The 26013-nt window shown below is 39.6% G+C and overlaps 2 annotated features.

The window, feature by feature from the left end:
• Nucleotides 16943-17868: an enhancer, noted in NCBI's record as "NANOG hESC enhancer chr11:103452251-103453176 (GRCh37/hg19 assembly coordinates)". NCBI's record gives its function as "activates a minimal SCP1, AML or CMV promoter by ChIP-STARR-seq in naive H9 embryonic stem cells {active_cell/tissue: H9 hESC(naive)}" and the evidence as "EXISTENCE:reporter gene assay evidence [ECO:0000049][PMID:30033119]".
• Nucleotides 19181-20104: an enhancer, noted in NCBI's record as "NANOG hESC enhancer chr11:103454489-103455412 (GRCh37/hg19 assembly coordinates)". NCBI's record gives its function as "activates a minimal SCP1, AML or CMV promoter by ChIP-STARR-seq in naive H9 embryonic stem cells {active_cell/tissue: H9 hESC(naive)}" and the evidence as "EXISTENCE:reporter gene assay evidence [ECO:0000049][PMID:30033119]".

Genomic DNA, 26013 nt, shown 5'->3' on the forward strand with positions numbered 1-26013 from the left:
TACAGGTGCCCACCACGATGTACCATGCCTGGCAAATTTTTGTATTTTTAGTACAGATGAGGTTTTACCATGTTGGCCAGGCTGGTCTTGAACTCCTGACCTCAGGTGATCCACCTGCCTCGACCTCCCAAAGCAGGTGTGAGCCACTGTGCCCGGTCCAAAACACCTCTTTCAATCTTCTATAATGTATATAATGTAATCATGTAATCTTAGACATTGAGTCATATTTGCTGTGTTTGTTTTATTAGAGCAAGTCCCAGGTTCTGACCATACTCAAGAGAAGGGAATCACACAGCCCACTTAAATGGGCTTACTCTTTAAGTAGGTTTCCCAGAAGTCTTGTCCAGTGACTACCACTTATTTCCCTTGGACAAACCTGGGCTACATGGTTATTCTAGCAACAAAGGGAGCTGGGAAATGTAGTTTCTAGATGGGCATATTGTCCACTAGAGTGTAATTGGGTTCTGTAAGAAAAGTGGAGAATAACTATTGGGTGGGCAAATAGCAATATTTCATTCAGGTGGAACCATATCACTGAGCCAGGAATATCAACTAGTGAGTCATACTGCGAATATCGAAAGCCAAAATGATTCTTTTTAGGACAAAATGAATCCATTGGCATTTCATTAATGGAACATGAAAATTATTGTTCTATTTGTTTCTACTTGTTTAAATGAAATACTTGTCTTCAATTCCAGTTTTAGAATGTGGGCCTTGAAATGCTTCAAATTAGCCAATTTAAAATTAATTCTGCTTTAGTAACATTTCATAAAAATGATTATAAATCAGAACAAAAACCTGTAGGGTATAGCAAGTTTCACAATTTCTTTACAAAAACAGCAATGCACCAGTAACCACAGAACAATAAAGAAAAATTAGAGGGGTATATCACAAGGGAAGAAATAATGGAAACCATTAGAGACTCAAAGAGCGGAAAGCCACCAAGAGAAGATGGATGGCTCCATAAACTTTATCACAGTTTTTCAAAAAAAAATACAACAATCTACCAGGTAGTGAAACCATTAAGTGAAATTATTGGTATAGACCAATTATGTCCCCCAAGAAATGAGATAATCATTTCCCTCTTACTGGATAAAAAAAAAAAGAGCAGTAGGAACAGAGACACATCCTGCCAATGAAAACTTTAAGTGGTGATTATAAAATATTCTCCAGAATGGAGTAATGAGTATAATGAAGGTTGTACACAACAAAGTAAAACTGTACTGAGATTGCAGCTTTAGAAAATCACTACAGTCACTGTGACTGTGGACATTCTCTGTGCTTCGATTCAGTAAAACCAGTTGATGGAGTGATGAATTGCTTCTTCAGCTTCTCATGGGTAGATTTAGGGAGAGAAAATGACAATTAGTGCCAATATTATAGAGATATTATTGGACAAATTCATAGGCTATCATCAGAAGCCCTCATGGTAAGGAGGGGAAGGTAGACTGGGTGATATTATTTCTGTGTTTATAGACAAATATCCCAAACAAAACCCTAATCAGCATATCCAATTGTGGGGTGAGGAGTATCATCAGTGACCTTAAAGAGGTGCCTGTGAAGGGTAAGGGGCCGGACTCTCCAGTTGCAAGATAGAGGATGTATTGCTGCTTCTCCATCAGACCAACTCATTTTCCTACTAGTGTTTCCTCTGCGTGGAACACATCTCCTCAACTCATACATAACTAATGTGAAGTGTGGGCAGATGTGGTATGTGTTGATGTATTGCTTCTAGGTGGAAGTATTTACTTGCCAGAACTTCGACACTCTTTCTTCTTGGCAAGGTAATTGTGGAGTTTGGAGATAGCGTCTCTCCCAGCCTGTTGCTGGGTGACCACATGAGCAGAGCTCCCAAGCTAACCCACAATGTCCAAGTAACATGAGAAATAAACCTCTTTCTTTTGGGTAGGGGGAGGGGGTTGTTTGTTACTGTAATATAATCTCCTAGCCTGTTCTGATACTTCATATCAAATCATCTTAATTACTTATTTATAGCACTGTTCATGATCCATACACTCTTAATGTGTTTCTTTATTCTTTTTGTCTGGCCTTGAAATGTAAACTGTATGTGGGCAGGGACCTTATCTGTCTTGTTCACTGATACATTCCCCAGAAAATGCATAATATGGAAAATAATAAATGTTCAGTAATATATATTCAATAAATAGTCTTTAAATAAGAAGTACAATTCTCTTTAGCCAAAGAATAAAGCAACATTTCTTAAATGCCTTTCCTAGGCATTTAAGGAAGTAAGAACCCTACATCCAAATTTCTAGCATTTATCAGCTGTGAGACCTTAGGGACATTACTTTATCTTTTTGTGTCTGATGCCTAAGTGTCTTCATCTGCAAAAACAGAAATAATCATATAAGGTTGTTGTGAGCATTAAATGAGTAATACAAATAACATAATAAACCATAATAATATATATTTATTACTAAAAGTGATACAAAGCAGATATCCAGGGCAATGTGCCTGAATGGCAAGCTATATTTTCCATCTTTCCTTGCGGCTAATTAGGGATATTATATTCTAGCTAATGAGATGTAAATTGAAATGTTGAGTGGGATATTTGGGAAGATGCCTTTCAAAGAAGGAAGCAAAACCCTCTTCTTCCTGCTGGTTGGAATGTGGATATAATGGATGATGTTCTAGCCCCTATCACATGAGATGAAGTGGAGGCTAGAAAACCATACACAGTAGAACAAAAAATAGAAAAAGCCTAGGTCACTGATGACTTGGTAGAACTGCTACATTAGCCATAAACAGTCTGTCTTCAAACTGCATTTTTTTGGAAGAATAAACTTTTACTTGTTTATGCCACAAAGTACTCATAGCTAGCACAAATTAAGTCTCTAACTGATATGCTCCCATCATATGTTGATCATCTATTTGATTTGTTTTTCCCAATTAAGAGTCTATTTATAGGGGTGTGTGTGTGTGTGCATGCATGTGCACCTGTGAAAATGTGTATATATATATATGTCTACCTTCATGGTGAAACTTTTACAACAACATCCTTTTTTCACTATTGTGCCAAGTTCTCTGGTGAGTGAAATGGCAATAGATCAGATGGCAATGAGTAATGTAAACCTGGATGTCTTCTTAATGCATTTTAAAAATTTTTTTATTTCAATAGGTTTTTGGGGAACAGGTGGTGTTTGCTTACATGAGTAAGTTCTTTAATGGTGATTTCTGAGATTTTAGCGCACCCATCACCCGAGCAGTGTACACTGTATGCAGTGTGTAGTCTTTTATCCCTCACCACCCCCTACCCTTTCCCTGAGTCCCCAAAGTCCAATGTATTATCCTTATGCCTCTGTGTCCTCATAGCTTAGCTCCCACATTTGAGTGAGAACATACGATGTTTGGTTTTCCATTCCTGAATTACTTCACTTAGAATAATAGTCTTCAATTCCATCCAGGTTGCTGCAAATGTCATTATTTCATTCCTTTTTATGGCTGAGTAGTATTCGATGGTGTGTGTGTATGTGTGTGTGTGTATATATATATATATAAATGTGATATATATATATATATATATATATATATATATATCACATTTTTTATCCACTTGCTGATTGATGGGCATTTGGGCTTGTTCCATATTTCTGCAACCGCAAATTTTGCTGCTATAAACATGCCTGTGCACGTATCTTTTTCATATAATGACTTATTTTCCTCTGGGTAAATACCTAGTAGTGGGTTTGCTGGATCAAACGGTGAATCTACTTTTAGTCCTTTAAGGAATATCTACATGGTTTTCCATAGTGGTTGACTAGTTTACATTTCAACCAAGAGTGTAAAAGTGTTCCCTTTTGATTGTATCTGCGCCAACATCTATTTTTTTATTTTTTGATTATGGCCATTGTTGCAGGTGGTATCACATTGTGATTTTGATTTGCATTTCCCTCATCATTAATGATGTTGAGCATTTTTCCATGTGCTTGTCGGCCATTTGTATATCTTCTTTTGAGAATTGTCTATTCATGTCCTTAGCCCACTTTTTTGATGGGATTGTTTGTTTTGTTCTTGCTGATTTGTTTGAGTTCTTTGTAGATTCTGGGTATTAGTCCTTTGTAGATTCTGGGTATTAGTCCTTTGTCAGATGTATAGATTGTGAAGATTTTCTCCCACTCTGTGGAATGTCTGTTAACTCTGCTAATTATTTCTTTTGCTGTGCAGAAGCTTTTTAGTTCAATTAGGTACCATCTATTTATCTTTGGTTTTTTTTGCATTTGCTTTTGGCTTCTTGGTCATGAAGTCTTTACCTAAGCCAATGTCTAGAAGGGTTTTCTCAGTGTTATCTTATAGAATCGTCATGGTTTCAGGTGGCATTGCTATAAAAATAGGCTCATAGACAGAATAGAAAACCCAAAAATAAAACCAAATACTTACAAACTAATCTTCAACAAAGCAAACAAAAACAAAGTGGGGAAAGGATGCCCTATTCAACAAATGGTGCTGGGATAATTGGCAAGCCACATGTAGAGGAATAAAACTGCATCCTCATATCTCACTTTATTAAAAAATCAACTCAAGATGGATCAAAGTCTTCAATCTACGACCTCAAACATCCCTATTTATCATTCTTAATGTTTGGATTAATGATTTAATCCAAAAACTCAGGCAAAGTCCAGGGATAGGTTAATATCTGCTAGAGGGAACCATAATAAACATATTCATGAACCAACTGTTATGTACAAGTCAAACAAACAAGTTAATTGTTTGTTAGCAGAAGAGATTATGAGTTTATTTTAGGCCATTAGTGTATATTACTCAGTTAAATTGTGTTTATATTCTGTAAATCTTTAATATTTCACCACAGGAAAGAAATTCAGCCCATATTTCTACTGGAAACTCCCAAAGAAGACTTAGAGCATGACTTAAACAAATTAAAAATTAAAATTAAGCATAAGCAGTGGATCAAGTAATGAATTATTTGACGTTTAAAGCTTTGGTTATTAGTCAGAATTAAGTCTTTAGTGATATAATGGGCTGGTTGGTTTGGTGGACTTTACAATTGTTTTTAAATAAAGAAGGTTTCATTCAAAAGTTGCCAACCTCATCTTTTGGGTACTGTTTCTAGAGTCATAAGCAGGGTCCTCTTCGTTATGCAAATATAAGATAAATAGGCTCTTCTTTCTAATACTCTTACTAAATTCTTGGGTAGGGAATAGGCAAACTGATATAGGTCCTTGAAACTTCCTGGAAGTTTTCTGAGAAATGCATTTAAGATCCCAAACTTCTTTTACTTTAAAAATATTTGAAATTTAATGTTAAAAGAAACTCTCTGTAAAGTGTAGACGCTGCTGATGAGATTCAACAGCAGAAAAACGAGTCCTACAAGAAAATTCTTCAGGGCACTAGGGCTAAATTTGGCCTTGGCATCTTGGCTGATACTGCGATCACAGGAGACTTGGTTTTGACATTTGGTGACTGTACCTAAGAGCACTTTGGGCCTAGCCATTCTAGTACAGTGGCTGCCTTTGAGAAATGGATCTGAACATGTAAATGTAAACTAAATAGCTAAAGTGGAGAGAGCCAGCAAGAGCCTAGCTGTGGACAGGTATGGAATTACTAAAATTTCATGACTGAGTTTTACCAGCAACAACATGTGAAAGTGGTAGAAGTAAAAACAACTGGAAATAGTAGACCAGTTAGATTCTTTATTTCCCTGAAGAATTTGGAAGGTGACACAAAGATTAAGAAACTGTATTATTCAGGATTCTCTAGAGGAATAGAACAGGATATGTATACTGGAGGCCAAGAAGTCCCACTGCATGCCATTTGCAATCTGGAGAACTAGAAAAGCTGGTGGTGTAATTCAGTCTGTAGTTGAAAGGACTGAGAAATGGAAGAGCCTATGGTATAACTCCCGCTCAGAGGCCCAAAGGCCTGAGAACCTGGAGTGAGGGCTGGTGTAAGTCCTGGAGTCTAAAGGACTGAGAAACAGGAGCTCTAATATTTGAGTGCAAGGAGAAGACGAATGTTTCAGCTCAAGAAGAGAATTTGCCCTTCTTCTGCCTTTTTGTTCTTTCTAGGCCCTCAAAAGATTGAATGATGCCCACACCTCCATTGGTGAGGGCAGATCTTTTTTACTTAGTTTACTGATTTAAATGCTAATCTCTTCCAGGAACAAATGTTTTACCAGCTGTCTGGACATCCCTTAGTCCTGTCAAGTTGACACATAAAATTAACCATCACAGAGACCAAAGATTAAGCACTGAATAGAAAGGTATTTATTGTCCTAGTGGGAGTCCAATCCTGCATAGAATCTAAGTGAATAGAAGATGAAGTTAGGGGAGAAACAATTGGGTAGATCTTTTAAAGTCAAAAGATCATCAATCATCTTCCATATGGTTGGGTTCCCCAGAAAACAGACTCCGAGATGAAGATTTGTTTTCTAGTGGGTTACTGGGGAGTGTACTCAGGAATAACACCCATTAGGGAGTAAGGCTAACAGGAAGAGAGTGACCACGATAACTCTACCACCTTTGGATCCATGGCTCCATTGGTCAGATAACCCACACATTTGACGTATCTCTTTCCTACCATTTGGGAATGCTAGGAGACGTGCTGTCACACAGTGTCAAGATGATTCAGAAAGACTCATGGAATTGAGGAGATGCCTGTAAATTAGCTTCTGAGTCTTAAAAAATAGCCTTAAGCACATCATATAATTAATGTATAATATTTGATGTGACTCCATTAATTTCCCAAGATATTTACTCTTTCCTTGTCAGTTCCATTATCTTGCCAGGCACTGAAGTCTAATTACATGTTAGTAGTTTTATCTAATCAGTATCTCATAGCAACTTTTAAATATGTGTTCTGGGTTCCAATTTCCTGACACTTTTGGGGTTTGCCCAGATATCCCTACCCTCCTATGTTTCTCAGACTAAACACTTCACAGTTGACAACGTGCTTTTATAAATTTCTCAGATTGTAAATTTACCTACCACTTTCAGATATGCAAAGAAAGCACAGCTTATGTATTTTTCATAATTTACCTAATCATCTTAAGAAGTCCCCTCTTTATTGGGTAGCATGGGAAGAGGACACTACAATTAGTCCAATTCAGTAAACTCAGTTGAATCCTATAATTTAAAGACCATCTGATGTATAGTTTAGTCTCTTGGATAAGTCTTTGTTTTTATGCTTCGTGCATTTCTGATTCTCTCCAATATCAATCCAAGAATATAGGGAAGAGGCTTATGTGACCTCATGGCAGCAGGGAAGAGGAACAGCCCCTCAGCTATGTGTCCATGTTTTTTGAGCATCTTCTTGTATCTTCTAGACCCAGGCAATGCCACTTTTCCTCTGGTCAGTGGGTTTCCTGTTGGTACCTAATGGCTCAGTCTGTTGTTTATGACATTGGGAGATTTTCTTTCTTGGTTCCATTAAATCCTGGTGGAGTCAGAGCCTTAGGATTCAGTCCTTGACCTTGACCCTTGCTTTTAAGGGAGGAGACCACCCCTTATATTGTCTTATGCCCAATTTCTGCCTCCAAAGAAAGAAGAAGTAAAAACTAAAAGGCAGAAATGAAATCCACAGGCAGACAGCCTGGCTCCATGCCTGGGCCTGGTAGTTAAAGATCGACCCCTGACCTAACCGGTTATGTTATCTATAGATTCCAGACATTGTATGGAAAAACATTGTGAAAATCCCTGTCCTGTTTTGCTCCATTCTGATTACCCGTGCATGCAGCCCCCAGTCACATATCCCCTGCTTGCTCAGTCAATCATGACCCTCTCATGCAGACCCCCTTAGAGTCGTAAGCCCTTAAAAAGGACAGGAATTGCTCACTCAGGGAGCTTGGCTTTTGAGATGCAAGTCTGCCAAAGTTCCTGGCCAAATAAAGCTCCTTCCTTCTTTAACCTAGTGTCTGAGGAGTTTTGTCTGTGGCTCATCCTGCTACATTTCTTGGTTCCCTGGTTCCCTGACTTGGAAGTGAGGTGATTGGCAGACAGTCGAGGCAGCCCCTTAGGTGACTTAGGCCTGCCCCATGGAGCATCCTTGCAGGGGACTCCAACCAGCCTGAGTGACATGGATCCTGACAGCACTCCCAGGTAGGCAATTGCCCTGTGGGATGCCTCGCCAAAGCAGCATGTGGCAGGCCCCCATGGAGGATCAGTGCAGTGGCTGAATGCTGGGAAGGAACTAGCTCTTGGAGTCTGGATATCTGAAACTTGGTAAGACTGGTCTTTGGAACTTGCCCACTCCATTTGAGTGGAAAGGCGTGCCTGCACCGGCATTTTGGTTTTTGTTTTTGACTTGATTTGGATTGCTTGATACTTTGGTTTTGGTTTTGACCTGGCTTGGATATCTTGATACTCTGATTTTGGTTTTGATTCTGGTTTGGTATAAACTGTAAAAGTGTGTGTATGCCCTTTTTACCCATTCTTTGTTTTGTGGTGTGCGTGTGCTGTGAGCGTGGTGTTTTGTCTCAAGGAAGCGTGGGTCAGGCACAAAGTAAGCCCACCCCACTAGGAACTATGTTGAAAAATTTCAAGAAAGGATTTAAGGGAAATTACGGTGTTACTATGACACCAGGAAACTTAGAACTTTGTGTGAAATAGACTGGCCAGCATTTGAGGTGGGTTGGCCCATCAGAAGGAAGCCTGGAAAGGTCCCTTGTTTCAAAGGTATGGCACAAGGTAACCTGTAAGCCAGGCACCCAGACCAGTTCCCATACATAGACACTTGGTTACAGCTGGTTTTAGACACCCCACCTCTGGCCCCCGCCACAGTGGTTAAGAGAACAGCAGCATAAGCTGCTGACAGAGGCAAGGAAAGACCAGCCAAAGGAGAGAGAGGAAAGAGATAGAGAAAAAGAGGGAAAGCGAGAGGAAGAGACAGAGAGACAAAGAGAGAGTCAAGGAGAGAGAGAGAGAAAGAGAGAGGCAGAGAGACAGGAAGAGATAGAGGCAAAAGGAAAGTCAAAGACAGAGAGAAAGAGAAAGAGATATATACAAGTAGTTAAGAAAATAAAAACACAGTGTACCCTATTCCTTTAAAAGCCAAGGTAAATTTAAAACCTATAATAGATAATTAAAGGTATTCTCTGTAACACTCCAATACCACTTTGTTGTCATTTAAACAAGGGCATATCCCGAAAGCACCGAGGACTTCCTATCAAAAATCCTTAACCCAGTAACCTGCGGATGGCCCAAATGCATTCAATCTGTAGCAGCAACTGCTTTGCTAACAGAAGAAAGTAGAAAAATAACTTTTAGAGGAAACGTCATTGTGAGCACACCTCACCAGTTCAGAAGTATCCTAAGAAAAAAAAAAGATGATTTAACATTAACCACTGAAAATTCCCTTAACCCGGCAGGTTTCCTAATAGGGGATCTAAGTCTTAATTACCATACAAAGGTCCAACCAGACCTAGGAGGAACTCCCTTCAGGACAGGACGATAGATGGTTCCTCTCACATAATTGAAGGAAAAAAAAAAAGCCATCTATACCAATTCTAAGTTAATTTGGACTAAACAACATCTATTAATAGCAACAGATAATTAAAATCTCAAACTTAAAAGGTTTTCAACAAAAGTAAAGTTTGCTAAAAGTTAACAGTGTAACATGTATTATAGTAACTTCTAATCTTGTGGCCTTAGACAGTCTAGTTCACCGATATAAAGGAAGTTCGCTTTGGAAAAAAATGGTTATCACCTTCAAAAAAAAGGGAGAAAAAAAGGGAAAAAAAATTGGGGGGCAGAATTTATGTAAAAAGAATGTTATATGGTAAATTCTTGTTCTGAAATAAATTAACTGGTTGTTTAAAGAAAGAAATGTTTGCAATAGAAAATTGAGGCATAGTGTAGAATTGTCTGCGAAAGTCATGAAAGAGAAAAAAAGTTATAAAAAAAGAATTTATGCAAGAAATGCTGTATAATTTAAAAGTAATTAGGCCTCCTGAATGTAAAACAATTGAAACAGTTTATGTGCAAGGTGTATAAGGAAAGTAAAATATACCTCTGGTAAAAAGATTATAGGGAGGCATAAGAAAGTGGATTTTTATCTATATTAAAAGGTTAAAAAATTGTTTTAAAGGTTTAAGCAAGTTTTAAAACAATAATTGTAAAGGAAATTCTGTGTGTAAACATATTGGCTAAAGTTAAAGGAGTATCATCCAGTTTTTCTGTGAACTGGACATTAAAATAAAAGCACAACAGGTTTTTCTTAAAGCACTAACCTGCTCTTTAACAAAAATTATAAAAAAGGTTAAAAAGAGTCTACAAAAATCTTACCTTATGTCAGACATTAAAAATTGGATAAACATGTCTACAAGGTTTTATTAAAATTAAGTTTAACATTAATAACACACTAATATAAAGGTAAAATTTAGCCTATCTGGTGTAAAAATCATACAAGAAGCATTATTAAATATAAAATGGTGTTTGGCTTTCTTTGGTCTAAAAACTAATAAAAATAAGTGCTAAAGGAAATTTCTCAGTAAGAAGGCACCAAAGACTATAAAGTCCACTGTTGATGCTCCCACATTTAAAACCAAAGGTCGTTTTCTTAGAAATTATATACTTGGTTTATCTTCCTCTTTCCTTCCCCTCAAAACTAAAAGTCTTTTAGCACAGGTACCACCCCTAGAATTTTCAGTAAACTAACACCAGCCTAAAGATCACCTTCCCATCAAAGGGTGGAAAGAAGGAAAACTTGAGCCAGCCTAGAAGGACCCTACCTTGTGCTGCTAACCACCAAGACTGCTGTTCGTACAGCGAAAAAGGGATGCACTCATCACACCTGAGTCAAAGTGCCACCCCCTCCAGAGTTGTGGGCCACAGTCCCAGGGGAAAACCCTACCAAACTAAAGCTAAGAAAAGTTTAACTCTTTCATCTATTCTATTACTCTTTCTTCTTTCCTCGCTCTATTGCTGACCATCTAGTTATTAACATAACCAAGTCAATTTCATCTCAAACTATTGCATTTAATGCTTGCCTTGTTATACCCTGTGGGGACTTGCCAAGTCAAGACAGCTCTCTACTTCAGAAAAGTACCTGTGTCCCTCCTGACTCTCCTCAGACTGGGCATTAGTAAATTGGGATCATTAATCCAGGGAGATTTCAATAAAGACCCCAGTGACAACCAGGAGTCTTGCCCCCCGATGTAGAGCTTTTATGCCATAGTCAGTCCAACGTTCTGTGGACCACTAAAGAGCAAGGATGGACTGCCCCAACTGGTTTTTGTAATTTCCTAAAATCATACATTCATTTTACTAGAGGATTATAGAAGTTAAAGACTTAGGGGAAACTTTGGCCATTAAGACAGGATACCAAGGTGCAAATGCCTGGTTGGAATGGATCAAATATTCTGTCCACATGTTAAACAAAAGCAATTGTTATGCTTGTGCACATGGCAGGCAAGAGGTCCAGATTGTCCCCCTTTCCACTAAGGTGGTCCTCCAGTTGACCAGGCGTGGGCTGCATGGTAGCTTTTTTCCAGGATTCTACAGCCTGGAGTAATAAGTCATGCCAAGCTCTCTCTGCTATATCCCAAAGTCCGGCACCCTGAGGGTCAGACCCCGAGGGCCATCTAGCTTCCGTCTTCCAACACTAAGTTCACTTCGTGTCTCTCATGACAGGGAGGAAACTTAGTGTTCCTTGGAGATCTGAAGGGATGCAGTGAGCTTAAGAATTCTCAAGAGCTTATCAATCAGTCAGCCCTTGTTCATCCCCGAGTGGATGTGTGGTGGTATTGTGGTGGACCTTTACTGGGCACTCTGCCAAATAACTGGAGTGGCACTTCTGCTTTAGTCTGATTGGCTATCCCTTTCACCCTGGCATTTCATCAACCAGAGGGAGGAAAAATAAGACATCATAAAGCAAGTGAAGCCCCTTATGGGTCTTTGGACTCTCATGTCTATTTAGACACAATTGAAGTCCCATGGGGAAAACCAGATCAATTTGAAGCCTGAAATCAAATAGCTGCAAGATTTGAGTCAATATTTTGGTAGGTGACAGTTAATAAAAATGTAGATTGGATAAACTACATCTATTACAACCAACAGCAACGAGCTTTTCATGAGATAAAAGAAAAACTCAGGTTGGCCCCAGCCCTGGGGCTACCTGACCTGACAAAACCTTTTACACTATATGTATCAGAGAGAGAGAGAGAAAAAAAAAATGGCAGTTAGAGTTTTGACCCAGACCATGGGGCCCTGGCCAAGGCTGATGGCCTACCTCTGTAAACAACAAGACAGGGTTTCTAAGAGTTGGCCCCAATGTTTGAGGGCCTTGGCAGCAACAGCCCTGCCAGCACAAGAAGCGGATAAGCTAACTCTTGGGCAAAACCTAAACATAAAGGCCCTCCATGTTGTGCTGACTTTAATAAATACCAAAGGACATCATTGGCTAACGAATGCTAGACTAACTAAATACCAAAGCTTGCTCTGTGAAAACTCCCGCATAACTATTGAAGTTTGCAACACCCTGAATCCCACAACCTTGCTCCCGGTATCAGAGAGCCCAGTTGAACATAACTGTGTAGAGGTGTTAGACTCAATTTATTCTAGCAGGCCCACCCTCTGAGACCATCCTTGAACATCAGTAGACTGGGAGCTGTACTTGGACGGGAGCAGCTTCGCCAACCCTTGCAAAGTGACTCTGAAGACGACGACAAGCCCTGCTTCAGTCACACCGGAAGCTGACTGGTCCATGCACAGCCAAAGCATGAGGAACTCATTGCGGGACTCATTTTCCTTAAAATTTGGACTTGTACAGTAAGGACTTCAACTGACCTTCCGCACACTGAGGATTGTTCCCAGTATATACATCAAGTTACTGAGGCAGGACAAAAGGTTGCTACAGTCCTATTATTTTATGGTTATTATAAGTGTACCAGGACTCTAAAAGGAACTTATTTGTATAATGCCATATAAGGTATGTAGCCCAGGAAGTGACCAGCCTGATGTGTGCTATAACCCACCTGAGCCCCCTATGACTCCCGTTTTTAAAATAAGATTAAAGACTGGCAACTTCTGCGTTCTGAAAAACCTCAGTTATTAGACAATATTGTATAGCAAGGGTGAGGAAGGACTTCACCCTTCCTGTGGGAAGACTCAGCTGCATTGGGCAAAAACTGTATAATAGTACTACAAAAACAGCCACCTGGTGGAGTTCAAACCACACTGAAAGAAATCTGTTTAGTAAATTTCCAAAGTTGCAAACCGTGTGGACCCACCTGGAGTCCCATGGGGACTAGACAGCCCCCACTGGATTATACAGGATAAGTGGGCATAGAGCCTATGCCAAGTTACCTGACCAATGGGCAGGTAGTTCTGTTACTGGCACCATTAAACCATCCTTTTTTCTACTGCCCATAAAAACAGGCGAGCTCCTAGGCTTCCCTGTCTATGCTTCCCAAGAAAAGAGAAGCATAGCTATAGGCGACTGGGAAGATGACGAGTGGTGCCCTGAAAGAATCATACATTACTATGGGCCTGCCACTTGGGCACAGGATGGCTCATAGGGATACCGAACCCCTATTTATATACTCAACCGAATCATATGGTTACAAGCTTAGAAATAATCACTAATAAAACTGTCAGAGCTTTAACTGTTTTAGCCCGGCAAGAAACCCAGATGAGAAATGCTATCTATAAAATAGACTAGACCTAGACTACTTGCTAGCAGCTGAAGGAGAGGTCTGTGGAAAGTTTAACCTGACCAATTGCTGTCTGCACATAGATGACCAAGGGCAAGTAGTTGAAGATATAAAGATATAACAAAGCTGGCACATGTGCCCTTGCAGGTGTGGCATGGGTTTAATCCTAGGTCCATGTTTGAAAAATGGTTTCCAGCACTAGGAGGATTTAAAACTCCTATAATAAGAATTATAATAGTAATAGGAACCTGCTTGTTGCTTCCCTGTGTGCTGCCTTTGCTCCTTCAAGTAATGAGAAGTTTTGTTACTACCTTAGTCCATCAAAATACTTCAGCAAAAGTGTACTATATGAATCACTATCAATCTGTCTTGCAAGAAGACACGGGTAGTGAGGATGAAAGTGAGAACTCCCTCTAATGGGTGAGGTTCTCAAAGAGGGGGAATAAGGGAGACCACCCCTCATATTGTCTTATGCCCAATTTCTGCCTCCAAATAAAGTAGAAGTAAAAACTAAAAGGCAGAAGTGAAATCCACAGGCAGACAGCCCAGTACCATGTCCTGGGCCTGGTAGTTAAAGATCGATCCCTGACCTAACCAGTTATGTTGTCTGTATGAATCTGTAGATTCCAGACACTATGGAAAAGCACTGTGAAAATCCCTGTCCTGTTCTCTTCCGTTCTGATTACCAGTGCATGCAGTGATTACCAGTCACATACCCCCTGCTTGCTCAGTCAATCACGACCCTCTCACATGGACCCCTGTAGAGTTGTAAGCCCTTAAAAGGGACAGGAATTGCTCACTCAGGGAGCTTGGCTTTTGAGATGCAAGTCCACTGAAGTTCCTGGCTGAATAAAGCTCCTTCCTTCTTTAACCAGGTGTCTGAGGAGTTTTGTCTGTGGCTCATCCTGCTACACTTTGACTGGCTATCTCCTTGGTACCTGGTCATAGCTCTTAACTGGGGACCACATTGTTCCCAATGCAGTTACCTCCCCTTACAGAATCACCAGTCAGCATCATCAACTACTCTCCATGTCTGCCCCACAGGATGCAGAAATTCTGGAACCGTTTCCACACCACATAGGATTTAGGGAGGTTTTAATTATATTATACTTTTTTTTTTTTTTATTTTGCTTTGGCTGCTTAACAAAGTTTGAGTCCTCGAACTTCTCTTGCTATTCTCCATTCACTCCTTAGGTTATCTTATTCAGTACTACAGCTTTAAATATCATCTATAAATGAATGACTCCCAAACCTAGATTCATATCGCAGACCTTTCTGCTAAACGCTAGACTCAGATACCAACTGCCTACTCAACAGCCCTGCTTAGGTGTCTAACAGGCCTCTCAAACATAAATGTCTAAAATGGAATGCCTTATCTTCTCCACAAATCTACTTCTTTTCCAGTCTTCTACAACTCGGTAAGTGGTGCCTGTGCTTTTTTAGATACAGGAGCCCTAATACCTGATCATTATCCATGACTTTCTCACACCCACATTCAATCCATTAGAAAATCCTTGTGGCTTTCTGACACGATTTTGCTGTGTCCCCAACCAAATCTCATCTTGAATTGTATCTCCTTTAATTCCCATGTATTGTGAGAGGGACCTGGTGGGAGATAACTGAGCCATGGGGGCGGTTTTCCCCATGCTGCTCTTGTGGTAGAGAATAAGTCTCATGAGATCTGATGGTTTTATAAGGGGTTTCCCATTTGCTTGGCTTTCATTTTCTCTCTTGCCTGCTGCCATATAAAATGTGCCTTTTACCTTCCACCATGATTGTGAGTCCTCCCCAGCCACATGGAACTATGAGTCCATGAAACCTCTTTTCCTTTATAAATTACCCAGTCTTGGGTATGGCTTTATCAGTAGCGTGAAAACGGACTAACACACTCTCTTTCAAAATTCATCCAGATTCTGTATTTCTTACCACCTTTCTCACCCTGGGCCACGACACCATCCCCTCTCTTCTGGATTAGCTTCCTTATCTCAACCCTTGACATAAAATCTACCTTCAACATAGCCTCCAAAGGGATTTTTAAAAATGCACGATTATCTTCTGTTAAACATTTTCCAAAGGCATTTGCTATTTCCTATGCCTGATACCCTCTTCCCTCAGATATCCACATGGCTCATCCCTCATTCCTTTAGCTCTCTACTCAAGTATCGCCTTCCAGTGGGGCTTTCCCTGATCTTTTAACAGTCATCTTAAAAGGCAATACCTGGGCAGGGCAGTGGTGGCTCATGCCTGTAATCCCAGGACTTTTGGAAGCCAAGGCGGGCGGATCACAAGGTCAGGAGATTGAGACCATCCTGGCTAACACGGTGAAAACCCGTCTCTATTAAAAATGCAAAAAATTAGCCGGGCGTGGTGGCGGGTACCTGTAGTCCCAGCTAATTGGGAGGCTGAGGCAGGAGAATCACTTGAACCCAGGAGGTGGAGGTTGCAGTGAGCTGAGATTGTGCCATTGCACTTCAGCCTGAGCTACAGAGTGAGACTTCATCTCAAACAAACAAACAAAAATATGCAACACCCACCCCCAACAATGGAAACTCCCTGCCCCATTTTCCTGCTTTACTTCTCTGTAGTACTTATATTCCCACATGTATGCATTTATATATTTGTTATCCCATTTTCTCAATTGGAAAGAAAAGCTTATAAGTTTAGTAACTTGATTCTGCTAATTACTTTATCCCCCGTGTCTAGAAAGGTTCCTGGCATGTAGTGGGTACTCCATTAATTTGGGATATAATGTCTATTATATAGCTTACATCAGAATATAAGAAAAGTTCAAGAACCTTTTCAGCATAGCTTTGCTTCAGTTCCCTAATCTGGTTTCTCTGTTTGACGGCACCAGCAAAATTATTTTATGTCTCCCAGTGATCTGTTGGGGGATTCTGTCCTTCTGTCTTCTACCTTATGGTCTATGGGTTTATCTGTTTACCATCTAATTTGTGAGGGAAGTAGGATGGTACCTTAATGTTGAAAATCCAGCATTATGAAATTTGGTATTATTATAAAGATTTGACTAAAATTTATGTTTCGGACAATTCTCAATTTTTTTTTACAAAGATACTCAGCTATAACTGAGGTGTAAGAGGACATAGTTTGTTACATGTAGGCACAGATTTTGGGGAAAGAAATGGGAGGTAATTATACTACCAATAATGTTAAAAGCCACTATTTATTTAGTGTCAAACTTGTGCCAAAAACTATGTGTACTACCTTCACAACAGCCCTAGAAAATAGATATTGCTACTTCTGGTTTACAAATGAGAAAACCAGAGCCTGTCATTAATAACTTGATCCAAAGTCATGAGTTTAATGAGGGGCTGAGCTAGGGTTGTTGACTCTAAATTCTTTCCACTATACTGTGCTGTATTCACAGTAGTCTCCAAAAAGATACTGGCAGCCTACTTGTTTTTGAAAACTCTTTGAAATGCTGTTTTAAAATGATCTTAGGCGCCTTTTAAAGAAACATAGCAGGATAGCTTCTTATATTGTAAACTAACCGAGCCCACAATTTTTGTGACTATGCATGTCATCAAGCTTATTTGTTTAAGATTACATGCTGGCTAATGATTATATTGCTTTGCCAGTTTCCATGATTATAGAGAGATTTTTCATCTGGAACAGTGGAGGTGGCCTTTGACAGTGCAGAGGAGTGAGAGTGGACAACACAGTACATCACAATGGTAAGTATGTGACCTGCCTCCACCCTGAGCTTCTGCAGAAGCAGCAGGACAATGAAAGGAGAAGAAAGGTAATTACCTACATATGAGTGATGACTGCTGAAAACCATCTTCCCCACAGTGGTTAGACCCTGGGTTTTATGGTCTTAACATTAGCACAGCAGGACCTAATGCTGATAGCCTGGAGCGGGGAAAGCTACATCTTTCACTTTGGTGCTCTGCCTCTATGGTGTTTCTCATCGCCCTGCTGTGTTTCTTAAAGGTCTCAGGGCAGTCGTCCATCAGGGGTGACATCGATCATGCCCACTCATAACTTAGGCTTGTTACCTCAAGTCACATTGCATTGCTTCTCTGAAAGCACATAAATCCTTTATCCCTTTTTCAGGAATTCTGTTCGCCTACTTCTGTGATTTCATACACGGCAACACTTTGGTAAAGGTAGGCTGCTCTTTCCTAAGGCTGCAGGTTCATGCCTGTCAAACCTGGGCTAGAAAGAAAATATGCCCTGTAAATCGCTCTGTGCAGTGATTTGAAAATAATGATGTGACTCATTAGTATTCACAGGTAGAAAATGGAACCTGCTGTTTGTGTTCAGTTATTAAACAGTGTAGATGTCTTCCTGTAAAAAAGGTGGAAGTGGCCTCTACAATCATTTTCAGGTGTAAAATTCCTGCACACTACATCCTTTCCTAATTAATGTCAGTTGTACATTCTGCATTATATTCCCCTAGCACTTCTGGGCTGTGGATGTATTTATTATCATATCGTTTGAGAAGGAGGGCAGTGATTGACAACGATTCTCTTTACAAATCCCAAGTGGTGTGTAATTTGGTTTTCTAACTGTGCATGTTTGCACAATCTGCTTCCTACTCCAGCTAGATTACTATGAGTTGAAAATGCTCATCAGTGTGGAATTATATTTCTCAATATCTTGAGTCTGTTGTATGACTCGAGTGAGGACAAAATTTGAACATTCTAAGTATTAGGGGGCTCCCAAGTGTATCAACAGGTGATCAGAATGCACTATCATAGCTGCTACAGTAGATATACCAAGGAGGGCAGTGGAAGCACAGGTGCAAGCCAATAGAAGCTTCACTGAGAAAAATAGCACTTGAGTTGGGTCCTGAAGGATGGACAGGAGTTTGACAAGCAACAGGGAGAAGGACATTTTAGACTTCATAAATATGGAAAATCTTGGAACAGCAAGGCCTACTTGAAAAATGGCAGTTATAGCAATTACGTTATCTTTCTTATGTTATTCCCTCCCTAGTTGAAGCCTTTTGTTCCTTGAGTTATATGGAATTTAATATGTCTACTTAAATCCTAATGATAGGTTCACGGTCTTATGGTAGGGTGAGTACTAGGACAGAGGGAGCCATGAGGCTTACAAAGTGCAAGAGGTTTGAGTTTTAGGAAGGCTTCTCTCCTTGCTCTGTGACTCAGTTTCCTCATTTACAAAACAAAGACATCAACTGCCCCTGGTCTAAAGGTAACTGAGTGAAATATGACAGGCATCCACAGTCAGTAGATGAATTCTCCTCCTTGGGGGCTCATGAATGTTTCTGGTGGAGGCAGACAGAGGTGATGTGGAGCCCCTCTGAGATGTACAAGTCCAACATCACCAATGTGCACTTTGGAGTTATACTCACATGGGTACCTCAAGGCGTTGGGAAACTAAAACGTACCTCTCACAAAAATGTTGGGCACCCCCACATATGGAAAATGCTTGAAGTCTCTTGTTAGTCTAGGATATGCATATTATTCCTTACATATACTATCAGAGGATTTGGGGTGACTAATTTTAGGAAAAAAACTACCAGGAAAATACACTCATAAGTCTTCAGAGCATCTTTCAAACTAATAATCTGTGAGCTGTTATTAGCAAATTTTATATTCAAGAATAAGAACAATTCTCTAGAGGGGAAGAACAAGCCCTCACTGCAGTGGCAGAAGAGGAAGCTGAGCAGAAAGAACAAAACTGTGAAGGCTTCTTTCCTGGGATCCAGTTGTGAGTTTAGCTTTTCCCTGGATTTTCTACGACACTGGTATAGAGACTGACATTTTCCATGCCATAAGTAATTAAAGTATTCCAAAAGCTCTAAAAAGGTAACTCATAGAGACCCATGGGTCCTCAACAATGCTCCTGAACACAGACTCTAAGGAAACAAGGAGCCTGAAACCCCTTCATTAAACCAGGAAGATAGGACAGAAAAGAATCCTTCCTTCTTCCCTTCTCCTTAAACATTTCAAAGTGCTGAGCTTTGCATGTCACACAAGAAGACAGCCTAAGGCTCACTCTCGAAGGAAAGACTCATTTCTTTTCTGGCTCCCGTGGTGCTGTGGATAGTTCTCAACCTGGACAAAGGAAGGTGTTAAGTGGGCTGAGCTCTCTGCCTTCCTTTTCTCTGCAAAGAGAAGGCAAGGCCTTACTTTCTTCCTTGGATGAGAGGCAACATAAATTGATCACACAACTATTGAAGAAGAAAAAATAGTAAGAAAAAAATAACTAATTTACCTGATTTATGAAGGTCATTAACAACCTACTAGGATGTTCTGATTCAGTTGAGACAGTAAATTTTATGTGACAAAGATGACAATTGAGAAAAAGTGACTGAGAGAATGCAAATGAAGAAACATTTTGTTTTTCCCTTGCCCTCACATTACATCTTCCTTACTTCTTACTATGAAAATTCCTACCCTTTTCTATCACATATACCTGGACTCTTTTCCAGATTGAACCTAAGTCATGCTATCTTGTCCTTCATTTGGACTGATGGGCCTAACTCAGTGCTCTTGGCAGTCTTGTGGTTTGGATTTTCAATTTTCTCACTGTAGCTAATAGTCTCTTTTATAGGCTGGCCAAAGCATTCACTTTGAGATTCGATAGAATCTTCCAAATTGGAAGATAACAATATGCTTGGTGTTGGCTCCTTTAACTGAAAATGAGAAAAATCATGCAGACATTGCAAGGCTAAAGGTTGTTTATCTCCATATTATAATTTCATTCTTTCTTTTTTTTTCAGATACAGCATGACTAAGCCTGCAAATTGTAAGGGATCTCAGTGATCACCTATTCTAATGTTTCACAGAGTACACAGTATGATTCTAGACTGTACATGAAATAATTATTTTTTAACTTTAAAAATTATAAATAGGCAAACATTTATTTTTGTATGCATTACAAAAAATGTTGAATAGTACAAGAAAAGCATGATTTCAAGGATATTATTATATAGGGTGAATATACACATGGATATGGCAATAGTTGTAAGGGTTTTATGGGTGGCTAAAGCTTGGAAAGCACTGACCTACCTACATTTTTCTTTCAACAGCTGGGACAACTGAGACCCAGGAGACAAATGATTAGGTCAAGGTCATTCAGTGAATCTCTTGTAAATCTGGGGCTTAAGCCAGGATTTGGGACTCTTAATTCATTCATCGTATTCTCTTTTTTCACAAATGTGTAACATTGTTCTTTGCATACTCACATATCAACAGTTTTTTTATATTGCTAAATCATGCATTTAATTTCTATGTATTAGATATAAAATTTTAATTTGGGAAAAAACATTTAACAGGATAGTTAATGAATACAGAAAAGTGGTTTTAAAGGTAGTGCCTGTTGGGCTTGGCTGTAAAATCTGAGATTGTATATCAGCTGTCAGCCTTTCATGTCTTCAGCATGCAAAGCATGCCTGCCATTCTCTTTGGATTGTATTCCATAGTTAAGCAAGAGCAGGAAACTTTAAAGACCTAATTGAGATACCACAATGGGATCTGTTTTCGATGAAATCATATCTGTCATCCACTTATTCTGACTATTCAGTCTTTTTCTTCCATAATTTTGAAACTTATGTCCCTGCTACAATGGACCACCGTATTAGTTCATTCTCACACAGCTATAAAAAACTACCTGAGAATGGGTATTAAGAAAAGAGGTTGAATTGACTCACAGTTCCACAGGCTATATGGGAAGCATGGTTGGAAGGACTCAGGAAACTTACAGTCATGGCAGAAGGGTGAAGGGGAAGCAAGCACCTTCTCCACGTGTCGGAGTAGGAGGAAGACAGACCGCGAAGGGGGAGGTGCTACATACTTTTTAACAACCAGATCTCATGAGAACTTACTCACTATCATGAGACCAGCAAGGGGGAAATTTGCCCCATGATCCAATCACCTCCCATCAGGTCCCTCCCCCAACACTGGGGATTAAAGTTCAACATGAGATTTGGGTGGGCACACAGTGCCAAACCACATTAACCACTAACAACAGTAATCATAGCTACCGCTCATTAAGTTCTTTTTGCCAAGTGCTATTCTAAGTACTTTTTACTTATCTAAGCCTCATAAGAACCCCATAAGATAGGTCCTATTATTATATCCAATTTAAAAATCAGAAAACTGAGGCACACAGAGGTTAATCAACTTGTACAATGTTAGAGAACTAGTCAGAGAGTTTTATCCCAGGGAGTCTGCTCCAAGGTTGTTGCAGTAACCTTGTCTCAAGTCTTTTTAAGATTTCTCTATAAATTTTTATTAGCTTGTATACTGCGATAGCACTGAAAACTCATTGTAGTATGTGTATAATTGGATGATAAAACTTGTTTAAAAACAGCTTTGTTTTTCTAATCTTCATGTTGTGTATAAAAATACTGTCACACATAATTTGACAAAATCCCTTAAAGAGGATTATAGAGGGCTGGAAATTGGCAGGATAATTAAAATGAATTTTAGGCAAATTAATTTGAAAACTAGAGAAAGTAGAAAAGATGAGGTAAGGAAGTGCAATGAGAATGGTGATTCAGAATGAAGATAACAATAATAGCATTTAACAATGGTAATAATAATTGTATCAGCTACAATGAGTTGAGAACTTAATATATGCCTAACACTGTGTTACATACTTATTTGTATATTGTCTAAATTCTTAGAACAACCCTTTGAGGTATTTATCATCACTCTAATTTTACAGGTGAAGAAACAGACTCAAAGAGGTTACATTATGTGTTGCTGTGATCTAGCAAGTGATAGCAGAGTTGCGGTTTAAACTCAGGCCCAGCTGTGACATTCTATACTTTTCCATTCCTGGGAGCTCATAGAACTCAGACACCTGATATGTAATGCAATGTTTTTTGTTCTATTTTTAGCTTGAGTTATGAGTCAAGAACACACTGAATATTTTTCCTGCTTGGATGAGCCTCCATTCTCCAAGTTAGTTAGCAGGGTTAAAGAGAAGTTTGGGGGCATCTCAGCAAGAATTGCTTTCAAAAACCTCTTAAGCGGCTCCATCTCAACATTTATAGTAACACTTTAATTTTGATTTTGACTTTCTGATCCCTCAAAAGTATTCATCTACCTCTATTAATCACATTATTTATGAGAGAGATATAGGTCTGGGTATCCGTTGACCTATTCAAGAATCTAGTATTGTGGATTTGCCATTACAGAGGCATCCCAGGAGAAAATGGTCCATAGGCTACAAAGGCTCTTCTCAAAAGGGTGTTCTAAAACTGTCAAGGGCAGCCTTTATGGAATGAGTTTATAACCTTCTAGGGTGACAATTTTGAAAGCAACATACTAATTTGGATATCTGACTCATTTGGTCAAAAAAAGTCCACAAATTTAATGTACAAAACTTCATACACACACACACACACACACACACACACACACACACACACAGTCCAACTTTCCAAAAAAGCAACCCCCTTGGTTAAAAAAATTCTACCTTAGATTGGGTTGAGATCTGTCTCTGTAATTCTGAAATTCCAGCCCACATCTTCCAACATGTCCTTTCAGAACAATAAAGATCAAGTGTGTTCCCTCTTCCAGATGAAAGCCCCACACATATTTGAAGACAGTTTTCTGGTTTTCCTTGAATTGTCTCTTCATGAAGTTAATCAAATTATCCTTGAAACTTCCCTCCTCCATGAAAGACTAATAAGAGGATACTTCCTCTAGAGAGTTTTAGTGCCAGAGATAAGCACAGCCTAGTTCATTTCTACTTTAAAAAATGGGATATGTGCAATGATAAAATGCCACTCGGCCTGTTTTCTCTTTGCAAGGCAGGCTTTAGGATGATGATAAATATTTGTCTAGATTGTGCAGCTGAGCCATATGTAAATTTGCATAATGGGACTCCAGGTGATGTGCTGCATGGTAATTACTTGTTACTTGTAACTTGATAAAGCTGGAATTTAGCAACACACTTATGACTGAATGCACTGTCAACAAACCAAGAGCCCTCAGCTTGTCTCCTTGTCACCTTAAATGGTGTTAAGGAAGAGGGAAGAGGTGGTAAGAGTCAGTGGAAGACTGATTTGTTAGACTTCTCCAAGGTCACAAACAATTTCTAAGAATAGCACAAGATGTTTGTTAACAGTGCAAATGTTCTGATTTGATTGGTCCACAATTTCAGTCTTTGTCAAGACCAATTCGGCCAGACGGATGAGTGAATTAGAGGAACAATGGGTATTAAACACACATTATGTTTCATATCCTGCAGTGGTTGCATGAAAGAGGAATCCAGGCTGCAGTATTCATACTTCTTGCTCTTCTCAAGAGCATTTGTCTCCCTGGATAAACACTTCCTCTTAGGCAAAGATCCTGCACTGTCCTATAAAGATCTAAGGAAGTCAAATCAAATCAACAGATTTAACAATTCAAGTAAAAAACATTGGGTTAGGTGCTCGGAAAAAGGAAATGAGTAACACATTCCTTGCTTTTGCTTTTTTTGATAACTTTTTTTATTTTGAAATGATTGCATTGCCTTGATATAAATAATAATTACTTAAATCTAGGTGATATGGCAATTGTTGATGATGCAGTGTCAAATATAAAAATAACAGATTACAAAGATTGGTTTGTGAAGATGTGTAGTGCAGTGAGTAATAAAGCACAACTTTAGAATCTGAATTCCTACCCCCACTTGACATATTATATAACCTACCTGATCCCAGGTCTCTTATCTTGGACATAGAAATGATGATGCATAGCTCTTACACCTCATTACTAATGAGATAATGACTGTAAAATGCTTTGGAGAATGCCTGGCCCCTAGCTGAAGTTCAATAAATATCAGCTATTAATGTGATATCTGCACTGTGCTAGAACATTGTGAAATTATGAAAACAGAGTGAACTTAGAAAGGCCAGTGGAAAATACACAGTGGATTAATCAATATGAGAGGATTTGAGGGACATATCTTTTGATTTATCTTGAAAGAATGTTTGAATGACAAGAACAGATTCTAAAATAAAAACTAAAATTATTAAATGGAAATAATTTTAAGCAGAAATTGAAGACTCAGTCTCTCCTATCAGAGACCTCATAGTCTAGTGGGGGAGACACAATTGTGGGGACACACTTTAAGTATAATTATTAAATGCTAGAACAAAGCAGGGGAAGATGAACCCTGTGAGAGCAGAAAGCAAACGTTTAGAAATACTTCTTGGAGTCAGTAATGTCTGAGATGTAGATGGAGGGAGCAACAATGGTGGCATGGTCAGTAGGACAGGAAAAGAGGGCAACTATTTTGTGCAAATCCTCATGGCAGGTTCCAAAAGGTACAGATATGGATTAGTGTGATACATGTTGGTGATAAATCATGGAGGGTCTTAAACATCAAGTCAAGAAGTTAGGGCTTGGCTATTTATTCTGAGTTCATTGCCTAAATACTTTTTATATGGCATGAGAATGCATTAGATCCTGCCTTTTTCTTCCAGTGATTAGCTTTTCAGCATATTAAAAAATGGAGAGTGATAATGATATGGACAGGAGACAGGAGGGTGGGGTCCCTGGAAAGGGCTCCACCCTCAAGCCTGGACCCACAGTTCTAAATGAGAACAGGCATTCCTGTTTTTTCACCTAAATGTTGACTTTTGGCCCACTATGCCCCTCTAGCCTGTGCCCATATAACCCCTAAACCCCAGGCTCCATAAGCAGAAGAGTAGCAGAGTGGCAGAGCAGCATGGCAGAGAAGAAGAAGAGAGAAGTGTCTGAATGTTGAGAGGAGTTTGGCTGGGGGAGGTTGTGGTGGAGATCAGCCATGGGATGGCCAAATCCCAGGGGAAGATTATCTTCCTACTCCATCCCCTCTCCAGCTCCTCATCCCACTGAGAACCAGCTCCATCACTCAATAAAATCCCCGCATTCACCATCCTTCAAGTCTGTGTGACCTGATTCTTCCTGGATGCTGGACAAGAATTTGGGACACACTGGGTGTGGTAACCGAAAAAGGCTGTCACACTGACTCTTCACAGAGCTGTTTAACACTCAAGCCATCCCTGGACAGCAGGGCTAAAGGAGCACTGTAAGACCCCTAGACAGTGCTGTGGGGCTGGAGCCCAAAAGTGCTCATCCCAGCTCCTGCACCTGCTCACCTGCATACTTCCCTTCCTGTAAGGGATTTGAGCACATGGTGGCCGAATAAATGAGCCACACCATCCCATAAGGGGATCAGGGAATTCTCCCATTTCAATAATGTTTTAATTGAGATGATTTGGGCATAAAAAGACAACCAAAAATATGCCACCCAGGAATGGTAGTGTCTGAGCCACTAAAAGACATGCATTTTACCCATTTTATAGGGATTCTGGGAGTGAAAACAAGAAGCCATGATCTTCTTCAGCATCCCTTTCTACAGCATCCTCATGTGAAAATTGGCATAACTAGACAACTTTCAAACTTCTGGATAAATTT

Source organism: Homo sapiens, chromosome 11, assembly GCF_000001405.40.
Source record: "Homo sapiens chromosome 11, GRCh38.p14 Primary Assembly".
Lineage (NCBI taxonomy): Eukaryota > Metazoa > Chordata > Mammalia > Primates > Hominidae > Homo > Homo sapiens.